The sequence below is a fragment of the Homo sapiens genome, chromosome 13 (genome assembly GCF_000001405.40).
Source record: "Homo sapiens chromosome 13, GRCh38.p14 Primary Assembly".
NCBI classification, from domain to species: Eukaryota; Metazoa; Chordata; class Mammalia; order Primates; family Hominidae; genus Homo; species Homo sapiens.
Window position 1 is genome coordinate 45,005,372 of NC_000013.11, and position 21,283 is coordinate 45,026,654.

Sequence of the window (21,283 nt, forward strand, 5' to 3'; positions counted from 1 at the left end):
TTACAGGCATGAGCCACTGTGCCCAGCTGAATGATTTTCCTCTAATCTGGCCTTACCCACTATGAGTCTATGTAAATGAGAAGTCAAATCTTTGTTTATTATTGAGTAACAAGCTTTTTTGATTCATTTTAAATATTATCAGGTGGAAATAGCAACTTAAAACCCTTCCTTAGATGAGAATAAAAGTCACAGTCATAAACTTTTTACTGAGAAACATCTGACCAATAGACTTTGAAACTGCATTGAGGGGAATCTTTAATACCACAGAAAATATAGAATAGTGATATATTACTGCTGTAAAGAAATAACCAATCTGTATTTTAGGCCAAAAATAAATTCCAGGAAAAGACTAGTTACGAACTATTGTCGTAGGCCAGGTGCAGTGGCTCACGCCTGTAATCCCAGCACTTTGGAAGGCCAAGGTGGGGAGATCACTTGAGGTCAGGAGTTCGAGACCAGCCTGGCCAACATGGTGAAACCCCGTCTCTACTAAAAAATACAAAAATTAGCTGGGCGTGGTGGCGCTTCCCTGTAATCCCAGCTACTTGGGAGGCTGAGGCAGGAGAATTGCTTGAACCTAGGAGTGGGAGGTTCCAGTGAGCCAACATCACGCCACTGCACTCCAGCCTGGGCAACAAGGCAAGACTTCCTCTCAAAAAATAAAAAAAAAAAAAGAACTATCGTAGTATCCAGTTTTTATTTGGCAGGATTAATTTATTGTTGCAGTGTTTATACAACTAGATTTAATGCTTTTTTAAAAAAAATTAAAATGTGCTTTTGTGAAAAAAATTTTGACATATATGCATAAAGTTATACTACTATGTTTTCAGAAAACAGAGGAAAAATCAGGATGATGACGATGATGATGATGATGGGTTTTTTGGACCAGCCCTTCCTCCTGGATTTAAAAAGCAGGATGATTCTCCTCCAAGGTGATAATGTGTAATATTTTAGGCCAGTCTTTCTTTAAATATTTTAACTAATGAATCTTTAATGAATTAAAGAATTGTCTGAAATTATGTTTTAACTGAAATATTTATATAACATTTTGAAATGGGTCATTCACCAGGAAAAGAAGTTGTTTCCTACAATAAAAATAATTATTTACATGTTTATGACACTTTCATAGTTTACAAAAAACTTCCACATCTGTTATTTGATATTCACAAAAGTGTTTTGTGGTAAACGAGGTGGATCACCCCTCTCCCCACTTTATAAACAGATAAGGTCACACACATAGTAGCAGACCTGGAGCTAGAATCTTGATGTTGTGACTTTTAATTCAGTTGTTTTCTTAATTATTTATCAATAGAAGAAACACATCCCCATGTGCCATGTTAGACAATTGGACTAACTTCTCTGAATCTTAAATTTGTTATCTGTAAGCTAGGATAACAGCATGTACTTTACAGAATTGTGATGATTGAGGTTTCATAGTTACATACCTTGACTTTGTGTGTGGGTGTTTAATTTATATGGAGCCTGGCACAGAGTAAGTATATAGTAAATATTTATTCCTGTCTTCTTCCCAGAATTGTAAAATTTTTAAATGCCAAATATAAGATCGCACATCAAATTGTTTATAATTCATAATACTGTATACCAATATGCAAGAACAAGCAGAAAAGGCTTTTTATTTTATATTCAAAGTTTATAATCACATTTGGCAGCTCCTAACTTCCATTAACTTTAGTTGTTTCAGATATACAGGGATAGGCAATCTACAGTCCCCAAACTAAAAATGATTTTTGCATTTTTGAGAGTAGCTGAAAAAACAAAGACAGATATGCCACAGAGACCCACATGTGGCTCTCAAAGCCTAAGAGTTACTATCTAGCCCTTTATAGAAAGTTTGCTGACCCCTAGGATGTAACATTCCTTTTAAGAAAACATATTACTTAAATGTATACCAATTTTATTCTTAAGAATATTATTTTGGCAATAATAAAATGTATGTGTAAAATAAACAGCTGGCATTATATATTGGAGTTAGAAACCTTTTATAGTATCATAACATGCCATGGTTTTATTCCTTTACTATGTTTTATGATTTTATATACCAGTAATTTTATCACCACCAATCCCCTGAGGCCAGAAAGTTAAGCTATAATTGCATTTGTAGATTGCTAAAAATTGTACTCAGAAAAAACCTATGCTGTACTCATAGCTTATAAATGATACCTAATTTTATCTTTTTAACAGTGCCAAACTTCCCTGTCTTTCATAAGCAAATTGTTCTGCTCAAAGAAGTTTCATGAATCAAGACAAGAGATTATTAAATGGTCAGGATGGGAACCCAGACTTTCTGACTGTCAGTACTGTTATTTCCCCTGCCAGGATGCCTGTCTGTGGGGTTCTGATAGAACATGGTGCAACCTGGAAATTTTAGCTTAGGACTTCAGTGCCATCTGGGTTGGTAACACTGGCACAGTGACAACTATGGAAAAAACATTTGTACAAAAGCAAGGATGAAGAATCTTAAAAGTGTGAAAGAGAGCATTTTTTTATTTTTTATTTTTATCTTTTTAATTTTTTCCTTCATAAAGTAAGGCTGTCTCCTTTTAAGACCCAGTGTTAAGGCAAGTCTCTCTTTTGAAGTGATGACAGTTGCCTCATTATTTGGCAGTAGGGCAGCTGGAAAGAAAATGCACTTTGACATCAAGTAGACCAGGGTTTAAACTCTAGCTCAGCCACTTACTAATTGTGTTAATCTTGGACATGATTTTGCTCATCTTAAAAGTGGAGTGACTTACACTGACCAGGATTGTTTTAAGGAAACAGATGCACTGCTTGAAATATGGTTAGCACGGTACCCTTTTCCCTTTCTGTGGGTCTTAATGAACTAGCTGCATTCTTCTACAGTTCCACATCATTACTGAGGACAATGTATAGATTTTTAATACTGCCATGTTATATAGACCACAGATTGCTGGCATTGTCTGCACATGCTATATATGTCCTTAGAAGAACTCAATTTCTACTTTGGTAGTTCTGACCATAATTATAATGCCCCTAAGGTATCTTTCACGGGATAATGAATCTCAAAACTGAAGGAAAGCCAAGGCACAAAATAAAAAAAGACCATCACAGATTTTAGTACATCAATTTTTTTAAAACATTGCCATTTTTATTTAATATAGTTCTTTTTAGGAAGTGTGCATATGCCAGTGTCACAAAGATTGAGAATTATTGGCTTAGTCTCTAATTATTGACTAACAAGTAGAAAAGTCAAATGTGAAAATTAGGTTTTTAAAAGACGTCTAGCAGAAAGATACTAGGTAATACTAGTAAAAATAAAGTGTTAAATAAAATTCTTATTTTCAACATTTGTCACTATTTGGCTTTATTATTTTTGTGAACTTTTATTCTTATAACTGCTTTTTAAAGTCAGGGAGAATGATAAAAGTACATTTTATTTTTCAGGCCCATAATAGGTCCTGCATTGCCACCTGGTTTCATTAAATCTACACAGAAAAGTGACAAGGGCAGAGATGATCCAGGACAACAGGTATCATCATCCCATTTCAACTCTAAGGTTTGGAAAGTTTTCATTGAAAGAATAAGATGTATTGTAACAAACTCCAAACTTTATGCATGCAGTTACTACAACCACTGGACTCAACTGTAATGTAAGACTCAGTTATATTCAGATTAATTTAAGATTGTAACATAAGTAGATGAAATAAAAAGCTGTTCACAAACCTGAGATTCTGTTAGGAAAATAACAGGATTGACGGGGTGTTACCTATTCATACTTCTTATCTTTGAAGGGGGACTTTAAGGTGTTAGAAGGATGGAACATGAAGAAAAGTTTAAGGAATGATTGTGATTTGGCCTTTAGGAGAGAAGGTTGAAGAGCTTTTTAACAATGGTCTTTACCTTGAAATTTACTTTCTCCTAACTAAGCTTTAGTATCTGTGTATAAAAAAATGCACTGGTGGATAAGTGATTTTAGGAAAAGATAGACCAAATGACTTTGGAGTAAAGTATAAAGGCTGTTTTTCTCCTTAACAAGAGTTGAGATTTGTAGAGTACTTTACAATTTGTAATGCATTTTCCCTGTATGTGGACCTTATTTTATCTTCTCCACGGTTTCATGAAATAGATATTATCTGCACCTTACAAATGCTAAAGACCAAAAAAATTGGGTACCTTACCCAAGATTACACAATTTTTACTGATCAAAGCCATGGCACAAACCCAGTTCTTATGACTTTAAATCACTTGTTCAATCTGTTATACTGCAGTGCCTTCCTATGTATGAATTCATATATTCCAGAGACTCCTGTTTATCTCCACTAAGAATTCAACAGTTACACTGAGGTTGTTACTCAAAGGATGTATAATGCAGTGGTTAAAATTATGAATTTCAGAGTCATTTACTTATTCTTTCAACAAATGCTCATAGAACACCCACAGTGTGGCAGGCACATAGTCACAGAAATGAATCTGTCAACAAATTATTTTGTTCCTATCTTCATAAGACATCCAGGACTCAGCCACTTCTGCTCCCACCCTGGTCCAAATAACCATCAAATTTCACCCCTTTTATTGATTTTCATGCTTTATGTAGCCCTTTCTCCTCTATTACCCCTTCTCAACACAACAGCTGAAGGGGTCCAGATGAAACAAAGGCAGATCAAAGTCAGATCATGTCACTAACACTCAAAACCACCAAATTACTCCTCCTCTCCCTAAGTCAAAACCAAAGTCCTTTTAGGGCCCTATACAGTCTGGCCTCTATTAGCACTCTGATTTTATCTTTTGCTTTGATGTGACCACACTGGGCTCCTTGCTGTTCCTCCTCAAATACAGCAGGCCACTTCCTACTCCTGAGCCTTTATGCCTGCTGTCCAAGCCTATGCAAAATGGTCTTCTCCTACATATCTATGTGGCTGGCCTCCTAGACCTTCAGTTTTTTTGCTGGAATATTATCTTTCCAATACAGTCATCTCTGGCCTCCAAATTAAAATATGCTAACCTCCTCTTCCCTTCTTTAATTTTCCCCATAGTATTTATTACCACCGAAGATACTATTAATTTTACTGCTTCTTTTTGTTTATTGTTGACCTCTTTCCGCTAGAATGTGGCTCCATAATAACAGAGATTTTTTTTATCTTATCACCAGTGCCTTATACATAGTAGATATTCAGAAGTATTTGTCGAATGAATGAATGAATCAAACACAGTGCCTGCCCTCATCACACTTACAAGGTAGTGGGGAATACATACATCAGTTTCTAACATTGTCAATTATTCAAAAGATGAGACAAAATATAAATGGAACCATGATGGGGGAATGTAATCTGAAAATGAGAAAAAGTCTTTTTCAGCCAGGCGCAGTGGTTCATGCCTGTAATCCCACACTTTGGGAGGCCAAGGCGGGTGGGTTGCTTGAGCTCAGGAGTTCAAGACCACCCAGGGCAACATAGCAAAACCGCATCTCTACCAAAAATACAAAAAAATAGCTAGGCATGGTGGCACATGCCTGTGGTGCCAGCTACCTGGGAGCTGAGGTGGAGGATGGCTTGAGCCCAGGAGGTGGAGGTTGCAGTGAGCTGAGATCATGCCACTGCACTCCAGCCTGGGTGACAGAGCGAGACCCTGTCTCAAAAAGAAAAAAGAAAAAAAAAGAAAAGGTCTTCTTATCTGAGTGAATGTCTACTAACCTGAAGTTTGATGAATTGGAGCTAGTTCAGCAAAGAAGGCAAGGAACATTGTTCCAGAGAGAGCAGATGGTTTATTTGAAGGCAAAAGAGAGTGTGGAGAGGATGAAAGTTAGGGTTAAAGAAGTTCAATATGGTTAGAATGGAGAATGCAGGGAGAATGGTGAGAGAGAAGGTGAGGAAAGTAGGTAAGAGCTGTTCAAAGCTTTGCGTTGAGCCTAGCTTGGGTACGCTTAGCTTCATGATCAGTAACATGCAGGTCATTACACTTACTTCATAGGGTTGTTATAAGGATTAAATCAGAATAGTAGTTGTATTAGTCCATTTTCACACTGCTAATAAAGACATACCCAAGATTGCGTAATTTATAAGGAAAGAGGTTTAATTGACTCACAGTTTAGCATGGCTGGGGAGGCCTCAGGAAACCTACAATCACGGTGGAAGGGGAAGCAAACACGTCCATCTTCACATGGCAGCACCAAGGAGAAGACTGAGTGCCCAGCGAAGGGGGAAGCCCCTGATGAAACCATCAGATCTTGTGAGAACAAACTCACTATCACAAGAACAGGATGGGGGAAACCACCCCATGATTGAATTATCTCCACCTGGTCCCTCCGACACGTGGGGATTATGGGAACTGCAATTCAAGATGAGATTTGGGTGGGGACACAGCCAAACCATATCAGCAAGTATTCAACTTCAAATAGCTCTCATTATTACCATTGTTCTTATTGCCTCCACTATGGATGCCATGAGTGTAACTGAAGAATTTAGGCTAAGTACGAGGACTCCTTTCTAACAAGGGCGTTGAAGAAAAAATTACCAGAGGAAGGACTTCCAGCCATATGGAAGACTGAGATGACATCGTCAGGCTAGGCTTTCCCTGCCATGAACACAAAGGAGTGCTAGGGGAAGAAATAAAATAACAACCATTTTAAAACACAGCAAAGCTCAAAAGGAAGAAAGGAAAATTCACACATACTAACAACATTGAGGGAATTCAAAGCCAGACACAGGTTTACACAGCAGGGGACTACAGTCGTTTTAGAGAACCCAGTCATAAACCCTAGAGAATCTGGGAACAGGAGCCCTGGCTTCTGGCTCACTCAGCCAGAGGAGATTGAATTGAGCACCATGCATAAAACCTGCAGCCTCAAAGTTCTGCTCTGTCTGTAAAAGGAGGACAAGGGGACTAGAGGACCAGAGAAATGTAACCCACTGTCCCTAGGAAGGTGGCAAGGAAATTTGCTTCTGCCTAGAGCCTTGTCATTCTATCTGTAACCTACTTTCAAATGGTTCTGAAAAAAAGTGTGTGTCTGTCTATCTCGTGGGGAGAGGGACAGAAAACAAACCAAAAAAAATGAATGTGTTAAAATGTAATGTGCCACTCAGTTGGTAAATCTGAGTGATGACATATTGGTGTTTATTGCACTCATCTTAGCACTTTTATATAGGTTCAAAATTTTTCAAAATAAAAAATTGGGGAAAAAAATTTTCAAAGGAGTAGCACAATTCAGCATTATTCACACTTGGAATTTTGTCCTAACCTACCTAGTTAGCAAATGAGTAGCTTACATCGTTTCCTTGGTGGTACACATTCTACATTCCCTGGCTTCTTTTGGTAGAAGGCGAGGGTCAGGCTGGGACAGAGATTACACTGTAGGTCCATATGTGAGGTGTTCTTGCTCTGATTGTTTGCCTTATAATTTCCCTTTAATTGAACCTTTTTCAAAAGACCTTTCTTTTTCAGTTTTGAGATTTTCGTTTCTCAAAGATGGGCTTTTCTTTGCCTCATTCCCGGCATATACCCCCAAATTAAGACATACACAATAATATTAATGGTTGACATTTCTTGAGCACTTACCACAAGCCAGACACTGCAACAGCAGCATAAACTTAACTTAATCCAAACAACAATCCAGGGAGGTAGTGTATCAGCTGAATGCCTTCAGCTACAAATAACAGAAAATCCAACTCAAAATGGAACTTTATCTTAACCTACTTAGTTAGCAAATGGGTTAATTTACTTGGTGATGTATGTTCTGTATTCTCAAAATAAGGAAAATATGTTTCATACATAATAAGAGGTCAAGAGGTAAGATCATCCCAGGCTTGATTAATTCCTTCGCCTCGTGATATCATCAAAGGCTCCAGTTTTTCCACCTTCCTGCTCTATAAGAGAATTAACAGTATGTTAATTCTGCCTTCATCATACCAAGCAGCCTGCCAAAGTTCTAAGACTGAGGCTGACTGCCTTCATCATACCAAGAAGCCTGCCAAAGTTCTAAGACTTATAAGCAGCTGGCAGTGTCCAGACACAGAAGAGGAATGGTCCTTTCCCTGTGCCTCTTTTGTAGAGAAAGGAAAATCTCTACCAGTTTCCTACAGACCTTTTGTGTTTATTTCACAAAAATTGTGTCATGTCCATGCCTAAACCAGTCAGCTGAGCAAGAAGAATAAGACCAAAGTGACTACTTTGTAATATTTTGTAAACATGTCCATACAATAGTTACTACTTTTTTTTAGTGACTGGACTAGAATTACCAATATTTTTCCCCAGGTGTTAGAGAAGGCCCCAGTTCCCTAAGAAGGGTGTGGCTTTAAAGAGGATAAAGAAAATGCAGGCTTCTCTTGGCAATAGAGTAGTTATTGGTAGAAGCTGTTATAATTTCCATGCCAAAGACAGGAAAATCAGGGCTTAGAAAGGTTAAATAACATGCCTGAAGTCACAGGGCTAGTACAATGGCAAATGAGGCCTTCAACAAAGTCAGCCCAAAGTATAAACTGGTAAGGTACCTAATTTCTATTGTAATTCTGGATAAAATGTGCACCATTTTTTTTATTAAAAGAAATAACTCATCCAGGACACCAAAATAATTTAATACCCATAGATAGGAATTGGGCATATTCTGTTTCTGATTTTCAGTTTAGTGTGTTTGGCCTAATTTTCTGTTTGCTTCTCCATCCCTGCTTTTGTTTGCCCCTGAACGTAAGTGATACTTATTTCTAAAAATTGCAGGCATCATCCTACCAGGACATGCTGAAATTCTACCTTTATTAAACCATCTCTTATTAAGATGGAAGTGAGACGATCATTAGCTTATTCCACTAATACTGTATTGGTACCATGACTCTTAGAGTTTGTGTTTTGTTTTGTTTTCATGTCTCATAGTTTTAAAATTTCATTATAGCTTTTACATCTGAACATTTTGCATCACCAAATATTTATATCTGTAGGGGGTTATAAATATGTTTAATATAATGTCTGTAACATCAGAAAGCTTACTATTGTAGATATAAGCTAGAAACACTTAATGCTAAATCACTAACAGTTGAGATAAAATAATAGACAGGCCACTGTTGTATACATGGAAAAAATATACTGGCCTTGATCTTGGAATGTTTCATTCTTGGATAATAGTTTTATTACACTCTAAGCCTAAGTTTCCTCCAAAAAAAAAGAAACCAGAAATAGTGCCATTTTACAGTTTTGTTACAAGGATCAAATGAGGTATATGACAAAATCCATAGTTATTAAGAGTATGTTTGTGTGTGTGTGTGTATTAGAGTAAGCCACAAGACAGTATATAGTTGTCTAATTATTGTACTATGCTGAAAAGAGCTCTAAGTCTACATCTGTGTCCTTCAGGAAGAGAGTGAGGTCTGTCATGGACACAGGAAGAGAGGTGGGAGGTGGGAGAGAGTCTGCATGCCATGGATTTGTCATCTCTGTGCTAGGCACTTGAGGAAGGTGAGGAAAAAGTCCTCATGGTTCAGTGATGAGCCAGCAATACATTGTTTACTTTTTTATTTTTTATGGATAATAAGTTTCAGTTAAATGCAGGTAATTTAGAATTATTTTTTATAACCTGTAGCTCTGCTCTTGGTTTAAAGGTAATGTCTTGTTTTAAAAGGAAACAGACAGCAGTGAAGATGAGGATATTATTGGACCAATGCCTGCAAAAGGACCAGTTAACTATAATGTAACGACAGAGTTTGAAAAAAGGGCCCAGAGAATGAAAGAAAAACTGACCAAAGGAGATGATGTAAGTTTTAAAAACACTTTAAGAAATACACTAAATAGATTAAAAATCTAAATTTTAGAAATAAACACTAAACTATATAACTTTTAATATATTTTGTTTTTATGCATAACATTTTTTTAAATTTAGGAGTTAGAACCCAGAAACTCTAAAAGAAAAATAACAAATTGGATGAACGTCTTTGTAACTTATATGACAAATATATGTGACAAAAACATCGATCCTTTATATTAGAGTTTGTTAAGTAACTTTAAAACTTCAATTGCATGACACAGTTGCTTGTACATATATATGTACTCATCTTATACACGATATGTACTTTCTATGCTGTGTTTTTTTTTTCTCTTAAAGGATTCATCTAAACCCATTGTAAGAGAGTCATGGATGACTGAACTTCCTCCAGAAATGAAAGACTTTGGTCTTGGGCCAAGGACTTTTAAGAGAAGAGCTGATGACACATCTGGAGATCGATCAATCTGGACAGATACTCCAGCTGATAGGGAAAGGAAAGCTAAGGTGAGAGGTTTTGTTTGTTTGTTCATGTATTTCTGTTCATGTTGGCTGGATTTTGAAAAGATATAATGCAAAATTATTTAAGGGTACTATTTTTTAAAATTATGATTCCAAAAGGATAATGCGGATTTTCCTCTGGAGGAAGAGTATGAGGAAGGAAAGTGACACCAATTGCTTGCTGTTTACTTACTATTTCCCAATAAACGGTCTCATTTAAACCTCAAGAAAACTCTGAGACATAGGTATAATGGCCTTATTTTATAGATGGAGAAACTATCCTCTATGAGGTCAACGTTTCTAGGGTCACAAAGCTAGTAAGTGATGAAAAATAATTTCATTTTAGACCTTTCTAGCTCCAGATTCCCTGGTCTTTTTACACCATACTATCTTTATGAACATATATCTTTTAAAATATTTTAGAAAAAAAAAACAAAGCTGCAGATTAACCTAGCAAATTAAATGGTGCCTAGAGAATTTCTCTCAAAATGACCATATCTCAGGTGCACTAAGCTTCATGTTACTGTCAAGATAGACAAGAACCACTGTCATTAATACAGTAAGTTATCCAAAAAATACCAGCCGGCCGCAGTGGCTCATGCCTGTAATCCCAGCACTTTCCAAGGCCAAGGCAGGGCGGATCACCTGAAGTCAGGAGTTCGAGACCAGCCTGGCCAACATGGTGAAACCCTGTCTCTACTAAAAATAAAAAAATTAGCCAGGCGCGGTGGCATGTGCCTATAATCCCAGCTACTTGGAAAGCTGAGGCAGGAGAATCACTCAAACCCGGGAGGCAGAGGTTGCAGTGAGCCAAGATTGCGCCGCTGCACTCCAGCCTGGGCAACAGAGCGAGACTCCATCTCAAAAAAAAACAAAAAAACAAAAATCTGTATGCATAAAATACATTATTTTTAATCTTCTGTTCTTGAATCTTTTTCTGTTTATTACAAAATATTTCATTGTATATTAGGAATTAAACCAGTATCCCCAGTACTACTCCTTCAATTTAATCCATCTGTGGGTTTTGGTTTTTTCTTTTTGGTTTTTTTGTTTGGTTGTTTGTTTTTTAAGAGACAAGGTCTCTCTGTCACCCAGGTTGGACTGCAGTGGTGCAATCACAGCTCACTGCAGTCTCAAAGGATCAACCCTCTTGGGCTCAGGTGATCCTCCTGCCTCAGCCTCCTGAGGAGCTGAGACTACAGGCACACAACTAATTTTTTTTATTTTTTATTTTTGTAAAGACAAGGCCTTGCTATGTTGTTCAGGCTAGTCTCAAACTCCTGGGCTCAAGCAATCCTCCCAAAGTGCTGGGATTACAGGCGTGAGCCGCTGTGCGCAGCCTCTCTCTAAAGGTTTTAATTTCTGTAAGACATCCCATTCAATTCTCAAATGCTTGACTAATTGTCACCTTATGATTATAAATTCATCAGTTCTGACTAAAGCAGTTCCACACTTAGTTCATTCCACTAGCTCTGTTTGTATTACTCATCAGTACCTAGAATTGTCAGGATTTCTGTTTTCAATCTGTAATGATCAATTTTCCTGTTTTGTCAGGAATTGTATTTGGTTTCAGGTGATAGAAAGAGTCAAGAGCTCCTTAAGGACTTTCCATTTTAGTGGATAATTGCCTGTGAAATAAACAGTGGTACCCTTAAAGTGTGGAGGGCATGTTTCAGTCTCCACACTTGAGCACTCTGCCTGCATATTGGGCAACATTATACATAATTTCTTTTTTGTCCTAAGATTAAAGAGAATCTGAGAGTTATAATAGGAAGGTGAGGTGAACCAACACATATAGGGGCAGGAGAGGCAGCAAAGGATGTGGATCCAAGAGAGCCACAAAAACCTTGAAAGGGTGGTGTTGGAATGCCTATTATTTCTTAGCTGGTTTTGAAATAATAATTATTTATTGGAGTTTTTATAATTTGGCCTTTAAGATTGTCTCCAAAAAGACAATTAATTCCCTTGCTTACATGCCTTTTTATTTGTGTCCATATTTATTTGTTCTTTTTTATATCCTGTTTCTCATTGGAGATGAATAGATGTCTAGCTTACAGCCAGATATGTAGGGAGTCTTCCTTGGAGGAAAATATCATGGAATAATGGAACATATGGAAACCAGGCTATATTGTTTGAACTTAAGAGATTTTAATCCCTATGACTGAGTTCTTTAGACCTGGTCATTCTTTTCTGTGCTGAAATGTTTTGTTTAGTATTTGCAGTGGACTCATAAAGGGATTAATAAGTCTTAAATTTTATATAATACTACATTACAGAATATAGTACCACAGACATATATTTATGTCACAAACTATATAGTATCACAGAGCTATTCATTTTCTGTTGTCTTTGATCCCGTGTAAAGTTCATGACTAATTTTTATAACAGATCTTAGCCATATTTCCTTCTTGATAGGTTCCCTCCATTCCATCCTACTTCTTATATTTGATTTTCCAGCATACCTCTCATACCTCTACTGTTCTCACATTAATTTAGCCAATATGGCCTAAAAGAAGATTGCTGTTGTCTGGGCGTGGTGGCTCACGCCTGTAATCCTAACACTTTGGGAGGCTGAGGTGGGCGGATCACAAGGTCAGGAGATCAAGACCATCCTGGCTAACATGGTGAAACCCTGTCTCTACTAAAAATACAAAAAATTAGCCAGGCGTGGTGGCGGGCGCCTGTAGTCGCAGCTACTCGGGAGGCTGAGACAGGAGAATGGCGTGAACCCAGGAGGCAGAGCTTGCAGTGAGCCGAGATTGTGCCACTGCACTCCAGCCTGGGTAACAGAGCGAGACTCTGTCTAAAAAAAAAAAAAAAAGATTGCTCTTTAGAAAGTAATGAAAATGTTTTACATACATTAATTGAATGAGATCAGTTAAGTCCTCACTTTCCAGTCTTGACGATATCTACTACCTCTTAATATTAAATGGTTAGGTTTTTATCTCCATTGTACCATAACATCACTTTTCTTTTTTTATAAGTAAAACATCTATTTTCTGGGAAAATGTAGAAATGAGCTATTTCTATGTTTTTAACTTACTTTATTAAATACAGTGTTGTTTTAGTCCATGAGGCCTCCTAAGCAAATAAAAACAATATAAGAATATGCTTAGAGACCAGTGGTTTTCAGTAGTTTTTATATGGGCCTTCCCCATTCCAATTTGGGAGCATATGCTCTAGAATATTCCTGTAACATTTTTTTGAATTAAAATGTGTTAGACTAGGCACTTCATGTGTGTGTGCTAATATAAATGATAGTTTTGTTTCAAATTCCAGTTGTTTCTTGCTGATATATATAAATATATATACATATAAATATATACATATAAATGTATAAATATATACATATAAATATATATACATATAAATATATATACATATAAATATATATACATATAAATATATATACATATAAATATATATACACATATAAATATATACATAGAAATATATAAATATAAATATATACATATAAATATATACATATAAATATATGTATATATATTTATATATATTTATATGTATATATATTTCTATGTATATATTTATATATATGTATATATATATTTTTTGAGACAGAAGCTTGCTCTGTTGCCCAGGCTGGAGTGCAGTGGCACCATCTCAGTTCAATGCAACCTTTGCCTTCCAGGTTCAAGCAATTCTTGTGCCTCAGCCTCCTGAATAGCTGGGACCACAGACACTCGCCACCACGCCCAGCTAATTTTTTGTATTTTAGTAGAGACAGGGTTTCACCATGTTGCCCAGGGTGGTCTCGAACTCCTGAGCTCAGGCAATCTGCCTGCCTCTGCCTCCCAAAGTGCTAGGATTGCAGGCGTGAGCTACCACGCCCGGCCTCTTGCTGCTATATTTTGTATATTGATCTTGTATCCTGCAACTTTGCTATACTTGCTTAGTAGTTCCAGGAGTTTTTTTAGTAAATTCTTTGGAGTTTGCTACGCAGTTCACAGTTTGCTACACAGTGCTAGGATCTGTGAATAAACACAATTTTTCTTTTTTTTTTTTTTTCTCAAAATGTACACCTTTTATTTCCTTTTCTTTGTTTTTTTTTCCCCCTCCAGGGTGATTTTATTATTTTTGAAAACAGTAATGTAGGATATCTTTTTAAGCCTTATTTTCACTTCTACATCTCACCACTGTTAAGTCAAACTCATCCTGAGTTCAATAAATAGGTTGATTGAGTGGAGTGGGTTTTTTTTTCCTTGTTTTCAAGAAAATCACAGACTAGAGCAGTAACTGATCTCTTATCAAGTATGTTAATATTTTGATTTTTTTTTTTTTTTTTTTTTTTGAGACCGAGTCTCACTCTGTCTCCCAGGCTGGGGTGCAGTGGAACGATTTCGGCTCACTGCAACCTCTGCCTCCCAGATTCAAGCGATTCTCCTGCCTTAGCCTCCCCAGTAGCTGGGATTACAGGCACCCGCCACCATGCCCAGCTTTTATATTTTTAGTAGAGATGAGGTTTCACCATGTTGCCCAGGCTGGTCTCGAACTCGTCACCTCAGGTGATTCACCCGCCTTGGCCTCCCAAAGTGCTAGGATTACAGGCGTGAGTCACTATGCCCGGCAAAGTATGTTAATATTTCTGATCAGAAGGGATTTCACAAACCTGGCTTAGTTGTGTCTCTTGTTACTTAATCTAAGTAAAAATAATATTTATTTTTTGTTTTATCTTAATCTTATGATTCAGTAATGTGTTATCTGTGTTCATTCCTCAGGAAACACAAGAAGCAAGGAAGTCATCCAGTAAGAAAGATGAAGAACATATATTATCAGGAAGAGATAAGAGACTGGCTGAGCAGGTATCTTCATACAATGTAAGTAAGAAAATAAGATATATAGAGCCAGGTGTGATGGCTCTTGCCTATAATCCCAGCTACTTGGGAGGCTGAGGCAGGAGGATCACTTGAGACGAAGAGTTCAAGGCCAGCTTGGGCAACATAGCAAGACCTTGTTTCTAAAAACAATTTTTTTAAATTAGCCAACTGAGTTGGGAGGATCACTTGAAGGCCTCCCTGCCTAATGTCTCAAAAAAAAAAAAAAAGGAAGCCAGAAGCAAAATATATAGCCTTTTTTCCCCTATCTTTTAGTTATCTGTTTATTTTTTTCTCTTTTACTTATTTCTCTTTCTTTTATATGTCTGCCTCTTTACCATGCACTTTTTATACATCTATCCTGAAATACACTATGTTGCATATATTTTTGTTTTAATAAAATTCTTCTGTGTTTTTCATGAATATTTCCAATTCACATTTTACGTATTAAATTAGCAGAAATCTAATTATTAGAGATAGGTAGCACTTGATGAGAGAAAGCAAGACCCCTACTCACTCATGGAGATCTTCCATTTATAAATGTTTACATTATAAACAGATTTGGAATGTTGGATGTAAATATTTAAATATGGGAGAAAAAATGTTTTTTGAATGTAGTCCAATCTAAATTTATAAACTAAACAGTCAGTATTCATTTGGCATATTATTTTGTTATCTTCTGTCTTTTAAAAAAATGGCAAATGTTGGATGGTGCCTGCACAAAAAGAAAAAATGATAAATGTCCCCGCTCAAAGAATAAATGTAAATTACTGAACCCATTGGTCCCTGAAAGGTGTTTAGGAAAATTATTTTCTGTTCCCAGTGTATTAAAGAAAATTCCATAAGCTCTAAAATATAGTTAGCTTGATTTATATATGTTGACCAGTACCACAGTGAAGCATGCTTAAAACATTTTGGGAAATTGACCAAAAACGTAGCCACTTGAAGTATTTATGAAAACTGACCAGCTCAGAAGTCAAATATCAACAAAATCGAAGGAATTACTATCATTCAACCCAAATTATCTGACCACAAAGAATTGAAGTTTGGATTCAGAATAACTTAAAAACCCACTATGGCCAGATGTAGTGGCTCATGTCTATAATCCCAGCACTTTGGAATGCTGAGGCGGACAGATAGGTTGAGTCAAGCTATGGCTGTGCCACTGCACTCCAATCTGGATGGCAGAGTGAGACCTTGTCTCAAAAAAAACATAAAAAAAAAAAAACCTGGAAATCAGAAAAACTCAAAATTTAAACTTTGCATCAAAGAAAAAATGATAATGGAAGTTAGAAAAATGTAGACCTGAATGACAAAAATACAACATATCACAATGTGTGGGATGCCATATGAAGCGGTATTTAGAGGGAAAATTTAGAGCCATAATGAGTTATGTAAGAAAAGACCAATGGCTAAAGATAAATAAGCTAAGCCTTTTTCCAAACTGGCATTTCTTATCAAACTAAACAGACATGTACCCTGCTATTTTCCTCCTGGGTATTTACCTAAGACAAATGAAAACATATCCACACAAAGAGTTGAACATGTTATTCTTAATAGCCTCAAAAAAACTTATCCAAGAATGTTCATAGATGCTTTATTCATAATAGTTAAATACTGTAAGCAGCTCAAATGTTGATCAGTAAGAGCAAGAAAACCAAACTGTGGTATAAATGAAACTACTCACCAATAAAAAGGAACACATTACAAATAAATACAACATGGATGAATCTCAAAAGTCATACTGAGTGAAAGAAATCTTACACAAGCAAGTACATACTTCTTATTATGTTTATATAGAGCTGTACAATAAGCAAAATGCATCTATGGTGGGAAAAAAATCAATGCTGATAGTCGGAATAGGGGTATGGAATTTGACTAGGAAACAGCATATGCCTGAAGTGATAGAAAGGTTCCAGATTTTGATTGGAGTTTGAACTATAAAACTCATTGAATATACACTTAATATTTATGCATTTTATCATATGTATATTTATCTTAAATATATATATAAAAAAACAAATATTGAACTCAAATGCATGCTTAGGTATTTAGGGGGACATGTAGTGATGTTTACAGTTTACTTTAAAATGCATCCAAAAAATTAGGGTTCTAATCTGAAGCCTGAAAGCTGAAATTCCAGATACTTTCTATTCAAAGTATTAATATAGTCTTAAGACTAAGCCACTCTAGAAACCTTAGCTTTTGATAAGTCGAGCAGTCTTTAAAATACTTTAATGAAGACAAAAACCAATCAAGTAGAAGTTTGACATTAGTTTTCAAAAGCTGTTACAAACCCATCTTATTCAAAAATTAATTGCTCTTGGCCAACCATGGTGGCTCACACATGTAATCCCAGCACTTTGGGGGAGACTGAGACGGGAGGATCTTCTGAGGCCAAGAGATAGAGACCAGCCTGGGTAGTATAGCAAGACCCCATCTCTACCAAAATAAAAAGGTGAAAAATTAGCCAGGTCTGGTGGCACACACTCAAGGTCCCAGCTACTTGGGAGGCTGAGGTTGGAGGATCACTTGAGCCTAGGAGTTTGAGGTTACAGTGAGCTATGACCACACCACTGCACTCCAGTGCAGGGTCTACACAGAGCAAGACCTGTCTCTAAAAAACTTTTTTTTAATAAATAAAAAATGCTCTAAATATTGTATATTGTTAGAAAATGCAAACATTTGTGTTAAATGATTAAATGTGGTAAGTCAGCAAATTAGTCATTTAGCAGATTAATCTCTTACATCAGCTGGCTTTCAGCTTTTGATTTTCAGTGAGTTGACTGCTTTTAGGTGTTATTTATTATTTTATTATATTTTAGCACTAGTTTGGTCCTGTGTGTCACAATATGCAAATTATCCTAAATCAGACCAACAGTAGTACACCTGAAACAACTGATATAAAAGTTTATTTCTTTTATCATCATGAATTTGAGCACTTGAATTGTTTGGATTGATTGTATAATAATAGTCCAGTGATTTAATGTATTCCTCTGTCTCTATTGATGTTCAATTTACTAATATAAGGAATCAGTACATTGAAACCTGACATCTTTATTTCTCCATTTTTGTTTGCTTTTTGTTACCTTACATACAATTTTGCTCATCATTATAAATCATTTTCCTCAGTAGTGGCTTTAGGTAAAGTAGTAAGATCCCTACAACTCCATTCTTTCTCACATCTCCACACATCTGCTGAAACTTTGTTCTCTATTTTCTCCAGGTCTTTGTTATATATTTAGGCCTTCCGCTTCCAACTCTTGTTAGCCTGTCAACCTTCATCATTACTACCTCACTAAGGACTTATTATCTCACTAGCAAGGAAAGATGTGAAAGCAAGGGAAGGGAGGAGAAATATGGAGAAATGGAGCTAAAAGATCAAGTTTTGATAGTGTAGCTTTTTTACATTTATACATACATATAATGCTACATATATGGTTTTCCATCCTAAAATTCACCTTACTACACTCCTTTGTATTGGCATCCTGTCTCCTATTAATACCAAACTACTAGAAAGAATGATCCACAAGTAGGTTCCACATCCCGTGGATCACCTCTGTCAGAACTTGGGTGGTAAAAGCAAGGTTTCTGAGACCCACAGTTGGCAGTTTTGATTCACTAAATTTATGATAGGACAGGCAATCTATATTTCTTTTCAACCCATCAGTGCTGGAGACCAGCAATCTTCAAGTGTTTTTGCTTGGTATCCCCTAAAACTCTGTGTGTGTGTGTGTGTGTGTGTGTGTGTGTGTGTGTGTGTGTGTGTGTGTGTGTGTGTGTTTTGAGACTGAGTCTCAATCTTCAAGTGTTTTTGCTTGGTATCCCCTAAAACTCTGTGTGTGTGTGTGTGTGTGTGTGTGTGTGTGTGTGTGTGTGTGTGTTTTGAGACTGAGTCTCGCTCTGCTCCATTGCCCAGGCTGGAGTGCAGTGGCGCGATCTCGGCTTACTGCAGTCTCCACCTCCTGGGTTTAAGTGATTCTCCTACCTCAGACTCCCGAATAGCTGGGACTACAGGCACATGCCACCATACTAGCTAATTTTTGTATTTCTAGTAGAGATGGGGTTTCACTGTGTTAGCCAGGCTGGTCTTGAACTCCTGACCTCAGGTCATCTGCCCACCTTGGCCTTCCAAAGTGCTGGGATTACAGGTGTGAGCCACGGCACCTGGCCCTAAAACTGTGTATTTTTAAATTTGACATCTAAAATTTTTATCATAAGGGCCAGGCATAGTGGCTTATGCCTGTAATCCCAGCACTTTGGGAGGCCGAGGCAGGCAGATCGTGAGGTCAGGAGTTCAAGACCAGCCTGGCCAACATGGTGAAACCCCCCTCTATACTAAAAATACAAAAATTAGCTGAGCGTGGTGGCGGGCACCTGTAATCCCAGCTACTCAGGAGGCTGAGGCAGGAATCACTTGAACTCAGGAGGCTTGCAGTGAGCCGAGACCCCGCCATTGCCCTCCAGCCTGGTGACAGAGCAAGACTCTGTAAAAAAGTAAAATGTAAATTTAATTTACTCTTTTAGTGAAAGACTTTTTTTCTAGTTAGTTCCTGGTCTTTGGATGAATGTTACTTATTGCAAGAATAAGACAGGTTTCATACAATGTGTACTACTTGGTTGACTGGTACACTGAAACTTCAGACTTCACCACTGTACAATTCATCCATGTAACCAAAAACCACTTGTACCCCTAAAGCTATTGAAATAAAAATAGAAACAAAAAAAATTAAGACAGATTTTACCATCAATTGTGTTTTTTTATACTTCTAAGAGTTAAGAAACCAGGTTTTTATGAAGAAGTAAATGAGAATGAACCCATTTTGTTATAGCGATGTCATTCAGTTCTTTGAACAATTTGAGTTATTCTCTTAAACCTCATATTGATCTGTTTACAAAAAGTATTATTAATAGCCTCTTAACTGTCAAGTCATTAGGATCTCCTTTGATTTTTTTTCCACATTGATCTTATTAATAAGTTTTCTTGGAAATAAGATCTTTCCAAGTCTGTATAATGAGAATAACAACATTTAATTTACAGAGATGTTGTGAGGATATAGTAAATGCTCAATATATCTAACATTTAGCATTTATTTATTGTTTCTTATATAGCCAACACTGTACTAAATCCTGTGTATTCATTAGATCATTTAACTCCTCCCTCCCTCCCTCAAAAATTTAGAAATTATTATTATGACTACTACCATTTTACAGCTGGGAAAATGAGACTTAAATTACTTGCCCATTGTTACCAGTGTTGAAAGCAGCAGGACCATCATTGCAATGCAGATTTTTCTGAATTTGGAACTTAAGTTTTATTTCTCCATGCTCCGTGTATTGATTATCTATTTTTTTTTTTTTTTAAGACAGAGTTTTGCTCTTGTTGCCCAGGCTGGTGTGCAATGGCATGATCTTGGCTTACCGCAACCTCCACCTCCTGGGTTCAGGCGATTCTCCTGCCTCAGCCTCCAAGTAGCTAGGTTTACAGGCATTCGCCACCATGCCTGGCTAATTTTGTATTTTTAGTAGAGACGGGGTTTCTCCATGTTGGTCAGGCTGGTCTCGAACTCCCGACCTCAGGTGATCCACCCACCTCAGCCTCCCAAAGTGCTGGGATTACAGGCGTGAGCCACTGCGCCCAGCCTTGATTACCTATTTTTTCTTAGCAATATTTGATGATTTTTTTTTTATCTCCTTCAATTTTGTTGAACATAAAGAATTGGAAAGCACTTGATTTGCTAATCAGTTTGTTTCTAAAGACTTTATCAATATTTATAAAATACTTAAGAAGTACTTTGCTTAACCCAGTATATTGAGCAGAAATAGGAAAATGTGAATAGTGTCAATTTAAATACATATTTACTAATGTATCTTTTGTACATTCTGCTAAAACGTTATGGCTCCAGATTGAGTTCAGTTAATTTATGAGACATGGCTGTCACATAATCTAATTGACAAAGTCATTTCTGGTTGTCAGATCAGCCAGACCAGACTTACTTTCTGATTCACTTTTTCCATTCAAATAAATGTGTTAATGACCATTCATATGACACTCTGAATTCTGATCTAGGTGCCATTTTACCTTCTAGATAAAATAAGATACTGTCACTTTCAGCATTTTTTACTAGTGCCTTGTTATTTTGCTTTCACTGAGGTTTCTTCACTCCTTCCCCCTCAAGTACATTCTTTGGCAGTAGGAAGGGCCTGGAAGAGGTATGGTTGTTAAGCA

General features: G+C 36.8%; 1 protein-coding gene across 8 annotated transcripts in view; it reads left to right on the forward strand.

The window, feature by feature from the left end:
* GPALPP1 (GPALPP motifs containing 1) overlaps positions 1 to 21,283 on the forward strand; it is a 48,132-nt gene that overhangs the window by 15,834 nt on the left and 11,015 nt on the right. For 4 of the 8 annotated variants that reach the window (XM_047430436.1, XM_005266444.4, NM_018559.5 and 1 more), the window contains exons 3-7: positions 831 to 932; positions 3,424 to 3,508; positions 9,581 to 9,712; positions 10,061 to 10,225; positions 14,959 to 15,057. In XM_047430436.1, coding sequence (XP_047286392.1) covers positions 831 to 932; positions 3,424 to 3,508; positions 9,581 to 9,712; positions 10,061 to 10,225; positions 14,959 to 15,057 — 583 coding nt within the window. Of the gene's footprint in view, positions 1 to 830; positions 933 to 3,423; positions 3,630 to 9,560; positions 9,713 to 10,060; positions 10,227 to 14,958; positions 15,058 to 21,283 lie in introns of those variants that run through there. The other 4 variants (NM_001316952.2, XM_047430438.1, XM_011535144.3 and 1 more) reach the window with 4 other exon arrangements.